This window comes from Homo sapiens, chromosome 3 (assembly GCF_000001405.40).
Source record: "Homo sapiens chromosome 3, GRCh38.p14 Primary Assembly".
In the NCBI taxonomy this organism is placed as follows: Eukaryota; Metazoa; Chordata; class Mammalia; order Primates; family Hominidae; genus Homo; species Homo sapiens.
This window is the reverse complement of record NC_000003.12, coordinates 150,435,491-150,457,198: the sequence shown is the minus strand read 5'-3', so window position 1 is coordinate 150,457,198 and position 21,708 is coordinate 150,435,491. Positions and strand designations below refer to the sequence as shown.

Below are 21,708 nucleotides of genomic sequence, written 5' to 3'. Positions count from 1 at the left end.
AACTGACAAAAGCTAAGTGTTCCATACAACCAACAATCTATGAAATGGGAGAACTGTAAACTTTTACTTACCATTGCTTGTTCTATTTTGTTGTCAATGGCTACAACACCTCCCCCAGATGCACTGGAAAAAATTAGAATATGTTATTATTCTAAAAAATTTAACCTCCCTTCCAACTCTTAAAAGAATGTAAAAGACATTTGTGTTTCACTTAAAACCAAATATACAGTAATTTAAAATAGCTTATTCTGTTCTGACAATTTCAGTACTCAAAGCTCTCATTTCTAAAATGAAAGTCTCAGTAAATAGATGATTTCTACAGGTCCTTTGTAGTGCCAACATTTCTAATTTGCCTGTAATACATGTATGCTACTTTAAAACTAACTCTCAATTGTATTAAGAATTTCTCTGTTCAGTGGTTTTAAAAGGATACATTTTAAATGGGCAGTGTCTTCTCCGTATCTCTTAAATTTCTACATTAACCAACTATACATTCTAATTGCCTTTCATGTAGAAATTCCAATAATTACTTATTGTAGTAAAATTCAGATGATGGCTTGACTTTTTTTTTTCTAGTCCCTCCTCTTAGTAAGACTTTTCTGGTATAAGTTTTATACTTTAACATCTAGTTTTTTAAAAAAAACTTAATGGCTTCTAAAAATGGTTCAGAAAGTCTTTGGGTAGGATTGGTTAACAAGAAACTCAACATTCAGCCGGGCGTGGTGGCTCACGCTTGTAATCCCAGCACTTTGGGAGGCCAAGGAAGGTGGATCACTTGAGGTCAGGAGTTCCAGATCAGCCTGGCCAACGTGGTGAAAACCCATCTCTACTAAAAATACAAAAAAAATTAGCCAGGCTTGGGGCGGGTGCCTGTAATCAGCTACTCAGGAGGCTGAGGCAAGAGAATCACTTGAACCCAGGAGGCAGAGGCTGCAGTGAGCCGAGATCACGCCATTGCAATCCAGCCTGGGCAACAAGAGCAAAACTCCATCTCAAAAAAAAACAAAAAAAAAAAAAACAAAAAGAAACAACATTCTGGCAGACCTACATGTATTTGACTGTAGGTTACTTGCTGGCAAAAATCACCTATAAGGTATGTGTGGTTTAGATCAGTTCTTCTTGGGAATAACTGAAAAGTTATCCAGCCTGTAAGCACATTCCAAGTTCAAATATCACCTTAGCAATTGTATGATAATAACACAGAAGGCTAATTGTCCTCTTTGGTGGTTTATATTCTACCATGTATTAAGTAGTAAGAATAGCTGGAATTTATACCCTTTTATTGTTTTTTAATGAATTTTATTTCTAAAAACAGTTATTAGGTTTTTAAAAATTACTCTTGTAAAGAAAAATCTGATACTGTAGCTTATTGTATCAATACGAAAAGATAATTTTTTATATGTTACTAAATATTCTTCATAAAGTATACTCCACCTAAGATTTTAGTGCTAAAATACCTGGAAACTACTTTACTTTAGATGGTGTGGACCCATAATGTTGTATCAGATTGAGGCTCAGAAATATCCTGTCCTGTGATATCCTGCTATTCACTTCCTATGGGACATCAGCAAATCACCTATTTAACTTCCCTGGATCTGAGTTTCCCCATCTGTAAAACAAGGGGTTGATGTCAATGCCTCAATGGACTTTCCACTTCTAAATCCTTGAAATCTTGAATCATTACATGGGAAACTACGTTTGTTTATTTGAGCATTAACCACATTAATTACAGCATACTACCTTCACTTCTTGCTGCTACTATTTCTAAGATGAAAAGAGGTTTTGTATATCTAATATCTAGAAAGGATTTATGGATCATTAACAAATACTTTATATGTGCTGGGCTTTAAATGCTTTTAGTGAGCTGTGCAAAGTATGACTATATGTAACTATAAACTACAGAACCACTAAGTCAACCATAACGCTTTAGTATATACTTCAGTGCCAGATACCATGCAGACATATTCACCACAAATACTGAACACATTTTGGCAAAAAAGACGGTGACAGGCATTTAAATTAGTTTGCTTGGGAATCCCAGATTATACTTTCTATATTTTTATTGACATGACAAGGAAAGATTGAATTACTTTTAAGTCATGTCATGACTTAAATCATTTGATTCCTTCAACACATTTGGTTTAAATAGCACACCTTAAATACTAACTACAACATCAGTTTTATGTATTAACAAGCAGTAAAAAAAACAAAAATTACTGGGGTTTTTTTTTGATAATTAAAATCAGTCAGCGAGTTTTAGAATGATTCCCATAGCTAAGGAAGAATAGTTAGCATGCTATTCTTTGAATGCTGACCTAACAAACTCTTGTCCTAAGATCTCTTTTATGACAACAGAAGAAACAGGTTTGCAAGGTATAAATAGATCATGATGAAGATGTATCCCTTAAATGGTGTTAATATTTCAACTGTTAGGTGTTGTACTCTAATAGAATAAATCAGTGTCAAATATAATTACTACCACTATAGTGACCTTTAACTATCTTGAAGGCTATTATTCAAGAATTCTATAACCTACTGCAGGGGTCTCAAACTTTAGCATGCACCAGAATCATCTGGAGGTCTTGTTAAAACTCAGGTTGCTGGGCTCCCCCACTCAGAGTTTCTGATTCAGTAGGCATGGAACCAGGAATCTGCATTTCTAACAAGTTCCCAGATGATGTGGAATCTACTGTCTGACTATGCTTTGAGAACTGCTGGCTTACAAATGAAAGTTATAGGAGGAAAAATTAAGAAGCCTAATTCTATTTTTAAAACTTTTTAGCCTGGCATATAAAATTCTTTATGACTTTGACCTCTGCCTTATACAGTCTGTTTTCCTCTTATACTCCATCTGCCTATTGTGTTATGGTCTTATACAACTATTTGTAGTCTGTGGAACATATGTTCTCTCGGGTTTCCTTGGCTTTGCAGAAACTGCTCCCTCAGCTGGAAATGCTCACAGTTCCAATTCATCTGGCTATCTTAGACCTGTCCCTTAAGATGCTCCAGTGCCATCTCTTCTGTGATGCTGTTTGATTTTCTAAGGTAGAGCCAATTACTCCATCCTTTCTGGGGTCTACCAATCTTCGCAAACTTTTTATAGTGCAAAAAGGCAGAATAGCAAATTCTGGCTCCTCCATATACTCACTATATGAATTCTGGGAAATTATTTAACCTTTCTAGACCTCAGTTTTTTCATTTAAAATAAGGATTATATGCCAATTGTGAGGATTAAATGAGTTTACATAATGCATAGTACTTGGCACACTGAGCACTCAATACAGACAGTGATTACTTTGAGTATTGTAATACTACCACTGTTGATCCTATTAGATTGAGCTCTTTGAGAAAGGTTCCATAACTTCTTCATCTTTGTGAATAAGTGAATTCAGTGCTTAGCACATAGTAACTCAATGCATACTGATAGTAATTAGATATGATAGATTTGAAACAATTAATGGTTCATATGAGGAAGGCATTAAAATTTTTTGAGTTCAGATAAATCAGTTCTCAAAGTGTAGTCCCTGAACCAGAATCATCAGCATCACCTGGAAACTTGTCAGAAATGTAAATATTTGGACCCACCAAGACCTTGTTAGAAATGTAAATATTTGGACCCACCCCAGATTTACTCTTGGGGCGGGGCCCCGTAATCTATTTTAACAAACTCTCTAGGCGATTCAGATAGAAACTAAAGTATGAGAACCACTGCTTTAGCCATATTTACGATGGAGATACCAATATGGTAGTCTTAAGCAAATAAGAGACTATTTTATTTCAAGATCCCAGAATATGGTTTAAAAATACTGTTTCAATGAGGGTATCAAGATGTTTTCTATTATGTTCAAAGTTATCATAGTGAGATTTGACTCTTTTAAAATGAGAAAGATCAACTGAAGCAGAATCAATAATTTCCTTCCTTCACCTAATGTTATAATACTATATACCTTGTTTTCTTTTTAATTATTATATTCAGCACATTATATTTTGATGGTTTAACCAGTTTCCAAACTTAAGCTCCCTAAGAAAAGGCTTCCTGTCTTTACTTCCAGCACAAAGTATATATACCCGGTACCCTACAATGGTGGTAGTATAAATATTTCAGATTAGTGTGTATGTATAGATACATACTCAAACTGAAATAAGTCAATTTTAAATCAAGTGTTACAATTACTGCTACAGAAGCATGAGGGAAAAATGAGTTCAGAATTTTCTTTTTTAAACTATTATGGTAAACTGGAAATGCTAAATAAAGTCAAAAGATAATTTTTAAAAATAAACTTTCTATTTACTATGAATCATTCTTAGAATAAAAATCAAACATTTATTAGCATTTACAGATGCATTAAAAATTGTGGATATGGAGAGAATGAACAGAAATATAGAGCTGTGGAAAGTAAGAAAGACCTACAAGAAAATATTTATTTACTGGAATTGCTGCTCCAAAATAACTAAATGAGCTTGAATTCAGTGTTTAAAGCTAATTATACTTACACTCACAGAAAAAGTATAACTCAGAGTATCAATGCTACAGTAAGGCAGGTTGGCTTTCCATGCTGTTCATCTTTTAATTGATCCTAACTGGCTCTCCACCACAGCTTTTCCTCCTAGGTTTCCTTACTCTTACCATGAGATTACTTGCAACATTACTGAGAAAGCAAGAGGATGGATGAAGAATTTCCAACTCTGTCACAAGTTAAAATCACTAAAGAAAAAGGTAATCTAATTTAATCTCTCTCTCTTTTTTTTTTTTGAGACAGAGTTTCACTCTCGTTGCCCAGGCTGGGGTGAAATGGCGCGATCTCAGCTCACCGCAACTTCTTCCTCCCGGGTTCAAGCGAGTCTCCTGCCTCGGCCTCCCGAGTAGCTGGGATTACAGGTATGTGCCACCATGCCCTGCTAATTTTGTATTTTTAGTGGAGACGGGGTTTCTCTATGTTGGTCAGGCTGGTCTCGAACTCCCGACCTCAGATGATCTGCCTGCCTTCGCCTCCCAAAGTGCTGGGATTACAGGCGTGAGCCACCACGCCCAGCCTTGATCTCTATTTTTAAAAAACTATGAGAAACCAACTTTTTTCTTTATCTGTAGTAATGTGGACAGAGACATGGTGACTACTTATTTAAAATAAAAAAATTCAGCCTGGGCAACATAGTGAGAACCCATGAAAGAAAAGAAAGAAAAGAGAAAAGAAAGCAAGCCCACGGTCCTAGTTACTCAGGAGGCTGTGTGGGAAGACTGCTTGAGCCCAGGAGCTCAGGGTTCATTACTGCACTCCAGCCTGGGTGACAGAGCCAGATCTGTCTCTAAAAAAAATAAGAGAACTACTTCTCTTTTTCAAAATGGACATATTTTGACTACTTTGTCTTTCCCTAGATATAAATGCTAATTAACAAATCAACAAGATAGAGGAAAAGAACACTTAATGGTTGTCTATTTTAGGGCAGGCACACCTTTATCTTAATGAGTCCTTACAATAAGCCTGAGCAACATTCTCATTTTACAGTTGAGGAAAGTGAGGTCAAGTAACTTGCTCAAAGACACAATACTAGGAACAGGATTCAAACCTGGACCTAATGTCAAAACACACATATTTTCTTCCATAATACTAAGACTGTGAAAAAATAATCTCTAATGACCTGAAATAAATCCAGAATTATGTGTATTATTAAGAGTGCTTTAACTAAGTACCAAATGTTAAGTTGTGAAACCATAAGCATGGATCCAAAGATTAAACCATGCTCAGAATATGCCATTTATCTTATCTGGCAAATTCCTAGAAGAGGTTCAGCTCTGAGAATAAGGGAGGGAACCTCTTAGAAAAGGCACTTGCTTAGTGATCTTTTTATAGCTGATACAGTTTACCTAATTGCTAAGAACGAAAATGTTCTTCTGGTTTGTTAGAAAGCTGAAGATGCCTTAAAAATTTTATGTATCTTTAATTAAAATACTGCAAAAAATAAATAAATAAAATAAATGCCTTGCTTTACTCAAAGACTCCTCTAACTTTGCATTGAGTTACAATCACAACTATAAATGCACTACAGGAACTCTCCAAATTACACAATCAAATCTTTTGTAATACAAACTCCTTTAAGTTGGTAAATTTGGCATACTTCATGCTCACACCCCCTTGCCCAAACCAACTAAAACTGATTCTTCAGAAACTCACAAGTAGAAGGAAGCTATACCTTTCTTTGGGGGCAGTCCTAAGGAATCATACACTGTTTCCAGTAAATCATCTATAACTTTTATTCCACCCACTCCCATCTCCCAAAATAAGCACTGTAATAACATCATTACTACTAAAATGCATTAATTCTAACCTGGGTAACATTTTGCCTATTCTCTAACAAATGCATGTTTTATTTTTTTAGAAAGAAAATTAAGAAAATGCGAGTCACTGATTACAAAGGAATAAATCTAATCAATCTACAGTTCAGTAAACTTGTGAGGTTAAATATAATTTTAAAAATCCACCACTCTTCTGTAAGAGGAGACTAAAAAATATTTACAGCTTAATTTAAGAACAAATAACAATTTTCCTTTCAAAAGGGCCTAAATAAATAAAATTCATATAGACAACCTCTGGCTGAATGCAAACCTCTATGGTTAAGAATAAAACTTGGGTGAAGTTAATAATAAATTAAACTAAGAACTCAAAATGTTATGTTATTCTAATTATTGACCATCAGTTCTACCAATGTAAAACAAATAATGTTTAATTTCATGATTAAAAAAAAACCCAAAATGCCCCATAGAGATTATTATTAGCAGTAACACAAAATAAGTTATTTTAAAGCTATTATTCATCCTGAGCAAGCAGGTAAAATTTCTACTTACAAAACTTAAGTGTTACTTTTTCTCAAGTAGCCAGTCCCGCAATGGTGTGATGAATGCCTTTACCAAGGAACTATTAAAAACTCAGTTAAATATTTATATATTGATATTTATTGTCAGCATCTTCTACAAAAACCTTGTTCACCAATGCCCTCAGCATATTTTATATTTATCTTGTTAATTTCAGTCAAATGGCTAGCCAGTAAAGCGTAGATTAAAGAGCATGCAATCTATATGAAGTCCATCTCCTACCTTAGACCCCCTTTGTCTAGAGTCAGTCTTATCATCTGTACTAAGAACTTTAAATAAACACATTTAATTAGAATTTCTTTAATACTTTGGTGGGAAAGGACTATGTAACTGCATGTCTAATTTTTTTTTAAAGTTAAAAAGTCTCTAATAAATTTTCCTAAAATCTGTTAAGACCAGATGCCCAATAGAAAAATGGGGAGAATTCACACTGAACATTAACAAGAAAGACATGAAAAAATACTCAACATCTGAATCATAAAATAAAAATACAAATTAAAACTATAATGTAATACTATTTTCCAAAACAGATTTCTCTCCTTTTCTCTCCTCTCCCGACCTCCCCTTAATTATTCACTCTCTGAGCCAGCAATCATTCATCTTGGAATTTATCCTCTAGATATTTTATATACATAGCAAATAATGTTAACAAGGCTACTCATTACAACACTGTTTATAACAGCAATGCTTCTGGTTAAATGAATCATGGTGTAGCCATCCATTCAATTAAATAGTATGCATCTATTAAAAAACCACAAAGATACTTTTCTAGTACTGAGATGGGAACAATGTATTCTGGAGATCTTTAAAAGTAAAGGTACAGATGTGTGCACAATACATTATAATTTACATTAAAGAAGATAATATACATTGATTTGCTTATATACACATAAAGAAGGATATACACACATTAAGAAAGTGGCTGTTTGGGAAGGCAGGCAGATGCAGGACAGAGATAGAAGCAAGAGTACTTCTACTACATTTTGAAGAACAATGAAAAACATGTTCCAAAATGAAAATGACTCATGAAGGAGTTATCTTTTACAGTGTAAACTCCAGACATGAACAAATGGCAGACAGGAAAAGCAATGACAGAAAATAGGAAAGGGAGAAAGGAGGGAAGAGGTGCCAACTCTATTTTCTCTAGCAACTATTTCATTCTGCAAGATAAGGTACTATATTCAACAAACAAAACAATGATCAACATAAGTGATATTTGTGATTTGTAAAAATCCTGTTTCTTGGTTTAGAGTGAATTATAACCATCTGAGAATGTGATGTAAATTATGTTTATAGCTCCCAGTACAGCGATTTCTGTTTATTCAAAGTAAATCTGGTAAGCAAATGGTAAAAATTTGTGGTAAAGATCTATAATACAAAAAGTCATGTAAACTTACACAATAAAAATGTTACATTAAAAATTTATCCCCTAATTATATATATATATATATATACAAGATTAAAATTAACATTATCTTCTTTTTCCAGATCTCTTTCACATTTCCAAGTTATGATATTTTGGGGGGATCATTTTAATATTTGGTAGTAAAATTCTGATAAAATTACTTTTTTCTTGTAGAGCCATTTTAAAGAAACTTCGTTTTAAAACTAGCTGAACTAAAAATCTATTAAAACATTCAAAATGGAAGAGATAAGAATTTAGTCTGGAGAAATTGAAGACTGATACAAAAGTAAAATTTGCACAGCAATTTCACTATTACAGTCCAAATATTCCAAACAAAGTTTAATTAATATCCTATTTCAAGTTAATACTTAAATGTTATAATAATATGGAATTACATTTATTTAAGATACTTGACTTTGTGTGCTAGCTAGTTGTTGTTTTTATAGAGATGGGGTCTTGTGATGCCCAGGCTGGAGTGCAGTGGCATGATCATGGTTCACTGCAGCCTCAAACTCCTGGGCTCAAGCAATCCTCCTGCTTCAGTCGCAGTCACCCAAGCAGCTGGAACTACAGGTGTGCACCACCATTCCCAGCTGATTTTTAAAATTTGTTGTTAGCAACAGGGCCTCACCCTGTTGCCCAGGTTGGTCTCTAACTCCTAGGCTAAAGCAATCCTCCCACCTTGGCCTCCTGAGTAGCTAGGATTACAGGAAGCAGTCATCCTACGTAGCATTATTTCTTATTAGATGAAATCATTATTTCTTAATAGACTAACAATAGGCAAAGTTTAACAGGTTGAAAAGATTATTTCCTTCCTCTGAGTAAGACCTAAGAAAGGACAGGAGAAAGGGGTATGAGGAGGGTGGCATTTTCCTTGATATTGAAGTACTTAACATTTAGAGCAGGCTCTCTTGAAAGAGATTTCATTTTACTGTTTACATAGCAGCAACTACCTAATCTGATGACAGCACATTATTGAGGAGTGAATAATACATACCAAGGGATGTAAGCCCAAATTAAAAACTCGACACTATAATACCTGCTACTTTAAATTATTTCTTGGTGACTGGAAAAATAGTGTAAGACTGACAGTTACCTAGACTTAGATGTACACTGGTACCTCAGAGGAAAAACAGGGTGAGAGGGATTAGAACATATTTCAAGTTTCAATTGAAGCATACAGAATCTTGAGAGATCAGTGAGATGATAAGGAAAAGAGACTATCTGTGACAAAGAAAATGCTAAGGATGCCTGGGGCTTTATTCTTGGAGCAACTAGGAGTTGGCTGGTGTATCACAGAAAGGTGGCTAGATTTGGTGGGGGGATGAAGTGGGGTGGGGAGTAGGTGGTGCAAATAAAGCACTGCAAATAAAGACGAGAAAAGAAATTTAAGTTTCACTTGGGACTACTGAATTTGGAGACATGGAAATGTAGAATCCTGTTGGAGAAATATAGAGAGAAGGCTGCTGGATATAGGTATTGAGAACTCCAGAGTAATCTCTGGCCTAGAAGTCTAGATTTGAAAGTTGTAAGAATGCAGTAGGCGACTCAAACCATAGGAGAAAACAAACTTGCATAAACAATGAAAAGACAAGTGGGGCCAAAACACTGGAGAACACTAACATGTAAAGAGTCATGGAAAAAGATGGGCTTGGGAAGAAACTATTCTTAGGAATGCTACTTATTCTTTTCATCTAATGGCCTCACATTTGCCTCCTCTTTCTCAAGCATTCAACATATTATTTCTTTTTATTAAAGTCATTCTTGTTTAGACGCCTTGTTTAAATATCTTCTCAATCCCATTTCTACAGTGAGGCCTGACTAAAGTAAAAATGAGACTATCCCCTTTGGTATATGTATATACCAAAAGCCAAATACCAGTGAAAAGCACATAATTTTTGCTCATCTTTTCATTTTGCCTATTTCTTTTCTTTATGCCTATTTCTTGAAAGTGCAGAAATGTTAGTTAAAATAGCTTTCTAGAAAAAGCATAATTCTATGAACAATATATTTGACAAAGTAAAATTATATTAGGCTAGTCACTGGGATTTCGTGACTAGAATTTGCTCCAAAGTTATTAACTAATTTTTCTTTGCTACCAAGTCTCCTTCCTAATCTGTCTCCTAAAGTCCAAGTACAGTAATAAATAAAGGTTGTCAAGGGACCGTTTCAAAATAGGGCTAAACTCAGAAGAATATCATGGGGTTTTTAAAGAGACAGTTGCTTGATTCTGATTTAGACTAAAGGGAGAGCACAAGCATGGCCATCATTCCTTAATGAAATGAACAGAATATATCATATTGGGGGTGGGGGGAAAGCCTAGTCTTTATTTTTAATAAATCAATGAATGTTTTCCATTTGGAATGTTTTTTAAAATTATAGTGGCTTGGGTTTGAGCAAAGAATTACATCTTTCTTTTTAAAAATGTTTTGACTTGTTTGTAAAGACAGATCTCACTCTGTTGCCCATGCTGGTTTCAAACTCCTGGGCTCAAGTGATCCTCCTGCCTTGGCCTCCCAAAATGTTGGGATTATAGGCGTGTGCCACCGTACCCAGCCAAGGATTACATTTTTCACTTTCAACAAATATAAAGGCAACACTCTAAATACAGGCCCTGAAGAATTAAAGTTGTCTACGTTTCAGTTTATTATCTCTTGTCTAAAGTATTTTTTCTTCTCCACTTCATTCTGGGGTCAGACATTCTGAGGGGTAAGACAGTTTCTCACTCAGCAGTTGTCTAAGCAAAAAGTTGAATTCACACAGAATAATAAAATGGCTTAAAAGCATAGACTTTAGAATTAGACTAGCTGATTTTTTTTTTTTTTTTTTTTTGAGATGGAGTCTCGATCTGTTGCCCAGGCTGGAGTGCAGTGGCACAATCTCAGCTCACCACAACCTCCACCTCCCAGGTTCAAGCGATTCTCCTGCCTCAGCCTCCCGAGTAGCTGGGACTACAGGTGTGCACCACCATGCCCAGCTACTTTTTGTATTTTTAGTAGAAATGGGGTTTCACTGTGTTGGCCAGGCTGGTCTCGAACTCCTGACCTTGTCATCCACCTGTCTCGGCCTCCCAAAGTGCTGGAATTACAGGCGTGAGGCTAGCTGACTTTTAATCCAAACTCCAACCACTTACTAGTGGGGTGATCCTAGCAAGTTAACATACTGAAACTAGTTTCCTCAACTATAAAATGGGATACAGTTGTACATATCTTAAAGGACGGCTATAAGGATTATGTGAGACTGTTTACAACAGTACACACAACAACCCAATTAGTTCCTTTTATCATTTGGATCAATTTGGACTTTGACACTTTATAAGGTCTACTTTCCCAGTGTATCTTGGGAAAATTAAATAAGAGTTAATCTCCCAAGGCAGTGAAACATGAATAAAAATCAATTATGATTAGTATTAAGAAACAGGTTTTATATTTATGTTTCACCCAAAATAAAATCCTAGTTATTCCTTAATTGATTTTTTGTATTCAATTAAATGTTAAAGATTTAATGCAGCCACAAAGTATATGTTAATAAAAATTGTTTGACTTGAGATTTACATTTACAAGGCTTATTATTATTATTATTATTATTATTATTATTATTATTATTATTTTTGAGACAGAGTCTTGCTCTTGTCACCCAGGCTGGAGTGCAATGGCGCGATCTCTGCTCAGTGCAACCTCCGCCTCCTGGGTTCAAGCGATTCTCCTGTACAAGGCATATTAAACACAGGATTCCCGTGGACTGGACATTAATAACATTCTTACGGATCTTCTTTGGGATCTCGATGTTTCATTATTTAGAGTAAAATAATCTTAACTTACTGTGGGAAATTTTTCCAAAGCCCACTGAAATATAACTAATTTAATTCAAATAAAAATTTCCAAAAAGAGTATTTAAAAATATCCCAGGTCTTCCTTTAGTAGTGTTATATGAAAATTCAACAATAAATATTACTAAAAGCAAATAAGAAAAGTGGTATAACGTGTTGTTTGCTTTTAAACAAATTATTACCCTAGCTGAGAATCACTGCTTTAGAATTACCTTATTCAAAGGGATTCTGACATAAAGTAAAAAATAGCACTACTATAAAATCTAAAGGGTCATTAGGTTTTTTTCACTCAAGCAAAACTGCACTCAAGTAGGCACATTTTCAGAGACAAAAAGTTTAACATCTAAGTTTTTATCATTTCAGTCTAGATTCATGTCCTTGAATTCTTTTAGGTAATAATTCTAATAATTTAGACATGGTGAATGACAGAATTTTACAATAGTTTGTGTGAAATCTTTTATGATGAATTCTACACTTACATCATGACCTGAAATTTGTTAAATCGATTTAGATTCCAGAGATAAGACTGTCACTTGAGATGGAATGCTCCACCTACATTTTCCTTAGCCTTCTTCCTTTCTTGCCAACAGGCTCCACTTCTCTGATTCGTCCATAATTTTTTTGTCTTTATCAAATGTTCCTTTCTCTTGAATTAAACCTTAAAAGCAGAAACTGTCCATCTCCAGGGTCTACTTATTACAACACTACTCTGCATATAATTGATAGTAAACATATTACTTGAAGAAAAAGACAGAATACAACTTACAATATATTATCTAATTATATTTTATAAGTTTGGTATAAACAGATGTTATATTGAGCTCATCATGCCAGGACAAAGATCTAAGAAATTAACCAACTATTTAAACTATTAGAAACTAATTAAGGGTATCGCTGGAACACAGTAAAATATGGGCAGACCTCGAGAATTTTTTTCTCCCCAATAAAGGTAGGTTTTTGATGTTCCTTGCATCTGGTTGTTACCTACTGAGAAAGAAGGAAAGTGCGCCAGTTTCTATGTAATATAGGCAACTGATGTAAATAGAAAAACGGGTTCAAGTTTGAGTAACAGAAAAGGGCTAGGCTCTATGAATTTCCAGGTTACTGCTGCCATGGCCAGTGAAACTTGGTAACTCCATATACTGATCATGGTGATGACTAAATCATAGAAGACTTCATGGATAATAAAGTGGATGTTAAAAACTTAATGATCTTAAGATAAAAACCTTGACAGAGACTTTTTTACATTAGAATCATGGATTTAAGGAGAAACCATTTGTAAATCTGGTGAAAAGCTTGATTGTATAATCATGCCTCATAAGTATCTATGTGTTCTCTCAGCTGACTAATCTCACTCTCTACTGAATCAAAATTAAGTCTAAAGGGTGAATTAAAAATCCTAAATGCTTTTGGTCAGATAAAAAAGACAATTCAAACTACCATGCCTTTAAGCATGACTCATGAATAAGTGCAAGTTATATGTAAACTAGATCCAGGAGTCTGAAGTCATTCACATTTATTTCACTCTTTTTACATTGAGGATCAGGTCACATATAAAGGTTTCCCATGAAGTCCTTGTATCATCACTAGAATCAATAAGTAGAGAAACGTCCTTGTGATCTCTAAGTTATTAAGCAATGTCTCCTTATCCATTTTTGAAAAAGAACTTTATGACTATGTACTAAAACCAGTGACTTACGGCCATGAACTGGAAACCACATTCTTGATTATAGCAGCTATGAAAATACAGAAATATCTAGAGGATGTACCCAGTTCAATGTCTCCACAGACTTTTTAGTGCTGCTTATATATGCTTCAAGTGATGGCAATCATCTGATTTTTCTGCTTCACATTTTAAGATTCCCTATTTTACAGAAAGGGTTTATGAGAGGTTTATAAATACAAAAAGAGACCAGGATGCAAAAGTAAGACATCACTGGAGGTATTCAGAGGCTGGATGACAACTTGAAAGGAACACTGTAGACATGATCCAAGTATAGGATAGGTGGTTAGAATAAATGACCATTAAATTCCCTTCTAACTCAGTTTTATAATTCAAAACTCAGAAGATAAATTCTGAGATGTGATATTAAATAAAAGGGCATTGGTTCTGGAGTTATACCCAGGTTTGAATCCCATCTCTCACCTTATTTTATAACACATAGTCTTGCTGTCTTCCAGGTTGGAATGCAATGGCGCCATCATAGCTCTCTGCTGCCTTAAACTCCTGGGCTCAAGTGATCCTTCTGCCTCAGTGGGATTACAGGCATGTGCCATCATGTCTAGCTAATTTTTCTTTTTTGCAGGTAGAGACAGGGTTACTCAAGCTGCTCCTAAACTCCTGGCCTGAAGCAATCCTCCTGCCTTGGACTCTCAAAGTGCTGGGATTACAGGCTTGAGCCACTGCACCAAAACCGAGATATGACTTTAGACAAGCTAATATTTAGCCTCCCCAAAGGACAATAATAGGACCGGGTACTGAGATTCAGTGAGATAATGCATTAGTATCTGGCATATGGTAAACACTTACTATGTTACCTAATAACTTGCCGTAATAATTTATAGTGGTCAAAATCTAAATGTCATGAAATACACAAGAAACACTGACTTAGGAGTTAGGTAATGTGGTTCCTACATTTGAGTCTTGTCTCTAATTGTATACAATAATCTCTAACATTATTTTCAGACACCAAATTTTGTGATGCCACATTCCAAAGGGGTTGTAATGAACTTAAACATTTCTCAGACCCTGGGGATACAACGTCAAATAAACATAATTCCAGAGTTTGTGAGTTTACAATTAGTGCAGGAGATATATAAGATGTTAAGTGTGATAAGTGCTAAGACAGAGCAAGATTTTAGAGGGTGTTCTGGGGGCACATAGCTCTTGGATCAGGAAAGAATTAGTAGAGGAAATGCCACAGTTGGGTGGAGAAAAAAAAGATAGGTACAAAAAAATGTTCCAAGTAAAAAGAACAGTAGGTGCAGTTGGCCACATTAGAAAACTTAAACGACAAGGACTAGTCAGAAGGTTGTTGCATTTTCACATAAGAAAGGATAGTACACTGAATGAGGACAAGAGATGGATAGGCTGGCAAAACACTGAGGAGGCAGATATGGCAGTACTTTGTGATTAACCAGCTATGAGAGATCAGGTAAGTTTGAATGTAAGGAGAGATGCCTAGGCTGGAAGTAATGGGTTTGAGCACCTTAGAGCATACAGGTGACTTCCTATAGCATAAAGATGATATGTGCATGGAAGCCATCTATAAGCTCTTACCACGATGAAGAATGTAAGAAGACAGCATTCTGATGACTCTATTTATTGACTGATTGATTGATTGAGACTGAGTCTCACTCTGTTGCCCAGGCTGGAGTGGAGTGGTGCGATCATGGCTCACTGCACCCTTGACCTCTCAGGCCCAAGCAATCCTTCCACCTCAGCCTCCCAAGTAGCTGAGACCACAGGTGTGCACCACCACACCCAGCAAATTATTTATGTAGAGACGGGGTCTCCCTATGTTGTCCAGGCTGGTCTTGAACTCCTGGGCTCAAGTCATCTGCCCACCTCAGCCTCCTAAAGTGCTGGGATTATAGACATGAGCCACCATGCCCGGCCTCCAATAATATTTAAAAGAGCAGACAGAAGGGAAAGCCTGCCAAATGGTCTGAGAAGCAACAACCAGCAAGGTAGAAGGAAAAACAGGAGGGAATGCTATCACAGATGTCAAAATATCAAATATCAGTTCAAAATTAAAAACGTATCACATATCAGTATTAGCTTTAGTTTTAACTACACAGTTTAAAAACTATTGAAAATCTACTTATCTACCATGATTGCAACTATTAATATATATGTATTCCAAGTCTGGGAATATGCAAACACTAAGATGGTAATTGTGTTAAAAACTTGGATTAAGTATGATTATTCTTATTCTATTTTCCAAACTTCCCAGTTTGAATTTTGAAAAGGCAAACATACTACTACTACAGAAGTTGGGGTACAAATGTATTTTATATGTTTATATGTATTATATATATATTTTTTAATATATATATAAAAAGACTTTTAGATAGAATTCTCATATTCTGATGACCTATCACGTTGTTTGTGCATTTTTAATCGTGGTGCTAAAGAAACAGTTTATACTAGCTCTGCAGACTATTTCAACATCACTCAGGAGCAAACAAATTCTTATGGTTTTAAGCAGTACTATTATTGCAGATTCAACCTTTTATTATTAATACTTAAAAACAGGGAAAAGGTTATAAGATGTGGAGCTCATTGGAGAGTAAAATTAAACCAACAAAAAGGATATGACAAAGTACAAAGGAAAACAAAACCAAAAAACTTCATGTATCCCAAAAAATTAATTTTGCCTGATAAATGCTTTAAAAGTGGGCAAAAAAGGAGGTTTCTCAGAATTATTCGCAACTAAAGGCAAATGGAAAACTCTCACATAGCATTTAATAAGGGTTTTACATGCAATATATCCCACTATCCCAAGAAATATCTGCAGTTCAAAGCTGCTTTTTAAATTAATGCTTCCTAGTGTTTGCTGTTTATAAATCCTAAATATTAAAGGGTGAGTTCCTTAATAATACTATTCTAATAAGTACTAAGACTTTTCTAAAAAAAAAAATACACATATATTTGCTTATATTCATAAGTATTAAACCTGAAAAAGAATTTATTTTTTAATGCAATTAATACTTAACTTTTAGATAGTAAGCAACCTCCAACATTTATTTTTTGGCAAATAATAAAAGATAGTTTTGTAATGGAGGATGACCCATTGCTACTTAAGTTCAAGATAAATCAAATTTATGAATTCACATCTTCATACAATGTAAAATTCTCCTTTATCTTATCCTTCAAATTTTCAGAGGATACCAGCATACTGATACCCAGGTTCCAGTCAGTAATAAGATTTGAATTCTAGCTCCACCACTCAATGGCTATGCGACTTGAGCAAGTTACTTAACTTCCCTAAGCTTTCAATTTTCTTCTCTGTAAACTGAGGATATTGATAATATCTATTAATATATGACTTTGTGAAAATTAAATGAGATAATGTGCCAAAAATATTCAGCACAGTGCCTGACACTCAATAGCCAAAACACGACTACTCTGCAGAAAAATCCAATTGACCTTTGAGCACAGAGACTGACAGTACGAAATTCCTAAACTAAATGTGGCTTGGCTCTGATTTGTCCCATCAGTCTAATGGGCATTTATAGTAACCCAGCATTGAATAAACATCAGTAGAAGTCATATGACCAATGTTCTCATTAGAAATTTCTTTCACGACTCATACTTAGGTGTCTAACAAGGATTGTCCTTTTGACACAAAACATTCACTAGCAATGTTTCTTAACTGTTTTTGACAGATGAAAATCTGACAAATGCTCTGAAAAAAAAATCTGACAAATGCTCTGAACCTTTCACAGAAAAGTGAACATAAAAAAATTCTACCCAAAATCTCACATGGTTCGTGATCTCCTGAACCCCAGCCACTGACTACTACATATGGATATCCTATACTAGAGAAATTAGAAGTTATTTTCCTGATTATCAAAGTTATGTAGATTATAGAAAATAAAGAAAATAGAAAAGTATACGGAATAAGAGATAACTTAATTAGTTTGTTGTATTTCCTTCCAGACTACTATTGATTGCAATTACTGGCTTAAGGGACTTAAGCTTACAGAATGTAATGAAGTCATGGAATACTATATCAGAAACAATTTAGAATATTATTCAAAAGGCAGAATGGGCAAAGGATAAAATAACATATCTCTGGTTAAGGATAAAGTTGGAATATATATAGTGGCCTGTTTAGCTGATATCAACCCATGCCTTCTGGCTTTTTTGGAAAATAAATAATTTCAAATAATTCTTGACTGACATGCAGGATATGCATACCACACTTTAATGAAAATATGAATTCTACAATTATATCACCTTGGACAAATAATCCAGACTCCTTTTCTTCATCTGCAAAATACTATAATCTTGAGATTAAAAGATATAAGGTCTTATCCTGAGCTAAACTCTATCCTTCCAATGGTCCCCCTACAAAATACAGCTGTGTAAAACAAAGCAAAATAAGAAACTGCACAAAACAAAGTAGTTTTTTTCTAAGCAGAATACTGAGAGAAAATTAATTTTCGGGGAATATAAAAAATGTGCAATGACTTCTAATATATCATTTTCATATGATATTGGCATCTTAGGTATTCTCAATGTAAGAATTGAAAAAATTTTCTTGGCTTTATTTTAGACATTTAGAGGAAACATGTCTTTTATTAAGAAATAAAATCTCCAAAGCAATAAAATTAAGCTGTATGTTATTAAGAAAATGGATTTTTTTTAAAGAAAAGATGAATATATTATTTCTCAAATATCTCCTGGTATAACACCTAAAAAGTATTTGGGTTCTTCACTATATTGTAGGCATCTACAGCAGATGCAATAGCAATATTTTAATAATCTTACTATAATACAGGATTTCACTTTCTTTTTTTAAACTGATGTATTTACTAAACACCACTGCAAAGATACGGCCTTCAGCCTCAAGAGACTTCGAAAGGCTTACATACTCCAAGTATTTAAAATTCCAAGTTTTAACTTATATTTAATACTATACTCTTACACAATGTGCTCATTTTGTTCATAAATATTCATCTCAATACAATAACATCAGGTATAATACATAAAATCTAAGCCATTAAGTCTTACCAATTTATGACCTGATGACACTCTTGTGGACAACATTCAGTCCTTAGAAGCTAGAATAACCCTCCAACCATGTGAGGGCATCACAACTTTTAAACTTTCGGCTTTCGATCATTATTATGTCACATTCCTCCTCCGATGCTGAATTCTAAAAAAAATTCTAGCAAAGAGTTTAAGTAAATAAATGTTTTAATCAAATAGCCTTTAAAAATCTTTTATAGCAAAATTTTATGTTTTACCATGATTATACAACTGATATTTTGTACTTTAAAAAATGAAAATAAATTTCATATTTGATCTGGAAAATTCAAACTTCAAATTTCAACATGGATTTTCAGGCCATCAGGATACTTGTTAGTAAAGAGTAAAGTAGAAATGGAACCAATTAAAGGTTTAAGATCATGATCCAGAAATTATGATTTAACACCATAACCTGATACAGACAGCTTTGTAGTCCTGTAGAAAGGCATTTGAGTTATATTGTTTGGTCCACATCCATGTATATGAGTTTCTTATTTTATTTTATTTTATTTATTTATTTATTTATTTTGAGACGGAGTCCCGCTCTGCCGCCCAGGCTGGAGTGCAGTGGTGCGATCTCAGCTCACTACAACCTCCACCTCCTGGGTTCAAGCAATTCTCCTGCCTCAGCCTCCCGAGTAGGTGGGATTACAGGCACGTGCCACCACGCCTGGCTAATTTTTTTTTTTTTGTATTTTTAGTAGAGACGGGGTTTCACTGTGTTAGCCAGGATGGTCTCGATCTCTGACCTCGTGATCTGCCTACCTCGGCCTCCCAAAATGCTGGGATTACAGGCATGAGCCACCATGCCTGGCTGAGTTTCTAGACTTATAGCATGGGTGGCTGGATCAGTAACAATCCATACCGATCATTTAAGTGCTTAAGACAGAATTCCATTTCTATATCTAAATCTTCATCTGTCTCTACTACCCCCAATTTTGAAAATAGACAACATAATGGCAAGAATTAAATTTTATTATGTGCTTTATGTAACCGAATAACAATGTATCCTATGCAGCAGTGGTCCCTATTGCTCACCTGTATATGGGCACGGAAGAAAACTGGAGGTAGGAAGATTTAATAATGGCAAAAATCACTTCATTAAAAATATCCTGTTAAATTTATTAAATTTTACCAGAAAGCTTTCAATTGGGCATCTATGTTAATCACTGAATAATATCATTAATAACATTTTCTGTCTGATAAGAATGTACATTTATATTTTTAGTTGCCAGTAACCCATAGGAAAGGAAACCCATAGATTTGTGGGCATAGTTTTGCCTAAATTAATCCCCTAAATAAAACACTATAAAGGGGTGGAAGGGATGGGGGAAAGAAAAGGGCCCTTACTGAGGATGATCAATACGCATAAAGCTATAGAAAACTGAAAGACAGCATTGTAAAGGAAACTCTGCAGCTATCTCAAAAGATACTTGACCCAAATGTACAGGCTGGGTCATGCTGTTACAGATTTTAACTTTCAGTGGAACTTTTCTATTACACATGGTCACTTAAGTCTCTCACGTAGTCTGAAAAACTATTAGAATTTTTCCAATATAATCTTTCCAAATGTAATCTCACAACACATTTGACTTCAATATAAATCATACAACTTTATTTTGTCTTCTGTGAAAGCACAGCTTTATAATGTAATCACCTGGTGAAGGCAAAAATCCATATTTATGAGGATAAGTGGTCGTTTAAAGTTGTGGTCATTTCATTAATGTATTACCAAATGTTTTAAGAAAGTTTTAATAACATTCTTATCTCCTATCAACCAAAATACTGTAATTTTTAAAATCTTTTGAAGATTTACTTTTTATAGGACAAATATACAGTCATATTTAGTAAAGTAAATACTTCCTGAAATACTTATCTATAATGCTGGTAAATCTGCTTGTCTGCAAGGCTTTAATTTAAGGTCATTTAAAGGGCCGACTGCTTGACCTTTTGTTAAAGGGCCGACTGCTTGACCCTTTGTTAAAGGGCCTGCCAACAAAAAAAGCCTTGTTACGGTAAATGCTTGGAAAGTCTTTTTGGAAGATACAATTAAACCAGTCATATGAAGCAGTTATTTTACTACGAAACTTACAAAAAAAAATTTTAAGGGTGTATACATTACACAAATATATGGTTAAATCAGGACTTTAGAGCTGTATACGTTTTAAAAGATACAAAAGTTATATATCAAAATTTTCCTAAGCATATATTTTCAAAATTAGTTGTTACCAAGTACAGGGTCATATTTCAAGAGTTTAAGTCATTAAATTCCAACATGTAGGACATCCTTATTAACAACCTGAAATGAAATTGGGTAACTAAAGTAGTTACAGATGAACAGCGTTCAGATTAACCAGATACCCTTCAAAATTTAAAATTAGAATTCTTCCTAAAAATGAATATTTAATGAGAAAACTGTACTAATATTATCAATCATAATCTTGAATCTCTGGCAAGACTGCTACCAAAACCAAATCCCAAATATTCCCTACAGTTATTTATCATTTCCTTTTGTGAGAAGGTGAAACTATATTAAAATAAAAAAACAGTGAAAGGGGAAGAAGGTAGATGATTTATAATTTCCAAGTAATTACTTGAAAATGGATATGCTAAATCAAACAGGTCTAAAAGAGTTCCTAAAGGAACTTGGTTTTTTAATGAATGTGCTTATCTTAGTTTGATAGAAAATTTTGTTTTCAGGTTTAAACCACATTTCCTTAAAAGATTCTGAAAATTCTATAAGACTACCCACTAATATAGCCAGATTTTCAACCTGCTGTTCAAAAAAGTTCACTACATTGTTTGGAGAAATCCTAGCCATGATAAACCAATGCTTGGTCAGAAAT

The 21,708-nt window shown here is 34.4% G+C and overlaps 1 protein-coding gene across 5 annotated transcripts in view, besides 1 other annotated feature; it reads right to left on the bottom strand.

The window, feature by feature from the left end:
* The window catches only part of TSC22D2 (TSC22 domain family member 2), a 58,125-nt gene that overhangs the window by 9,224 nt on the left and 27,193 nt on the right, over positions 1 to 21,708 (bottom strand). For 2 of the 5 annotated variants that reach the window (XR_007095779.1, XR_007095780.1), the window contains 2 exons: positions 18,845 to 19,001; positions 67 to 123 (listed from right to left, as the gene is read on the bottom strand). Coding sequence is in view for 2 of the 5 variants with exons in the window: in NM_014779.4 (NP_055594.1) it covers positions 72 to 123 (52 nt within the window). In the remaining 3 variants the exon portion in view is untranslated. Of the gene's footprint in view, positions 1 to 66; positions 124 to 18,844; positions 19,002 to 21,708 lie in introns of those variants that run through there. The other 3 variants (NM_014779.4, NM_001303264.2, NR_130136.2) reach the window with 2 other exon arrangements.
* Positions 14,809 to 14,978: an enhancer, noted in NCBI's record as "experimental_65259 CRE fragment used in MPRA reporter constructs". NCBI's record gives its function as "activates a minimal promoter by MPRAs in K562 erythroleukemia cells, with activity observed for both the introgressed and non-introgressed 3:150160093 variant alleles {active_cell/tissue: K562}" and the evidence as "EXISTENCE:reporter gene assay evidence [ECO:0000049][PMID:34662402]".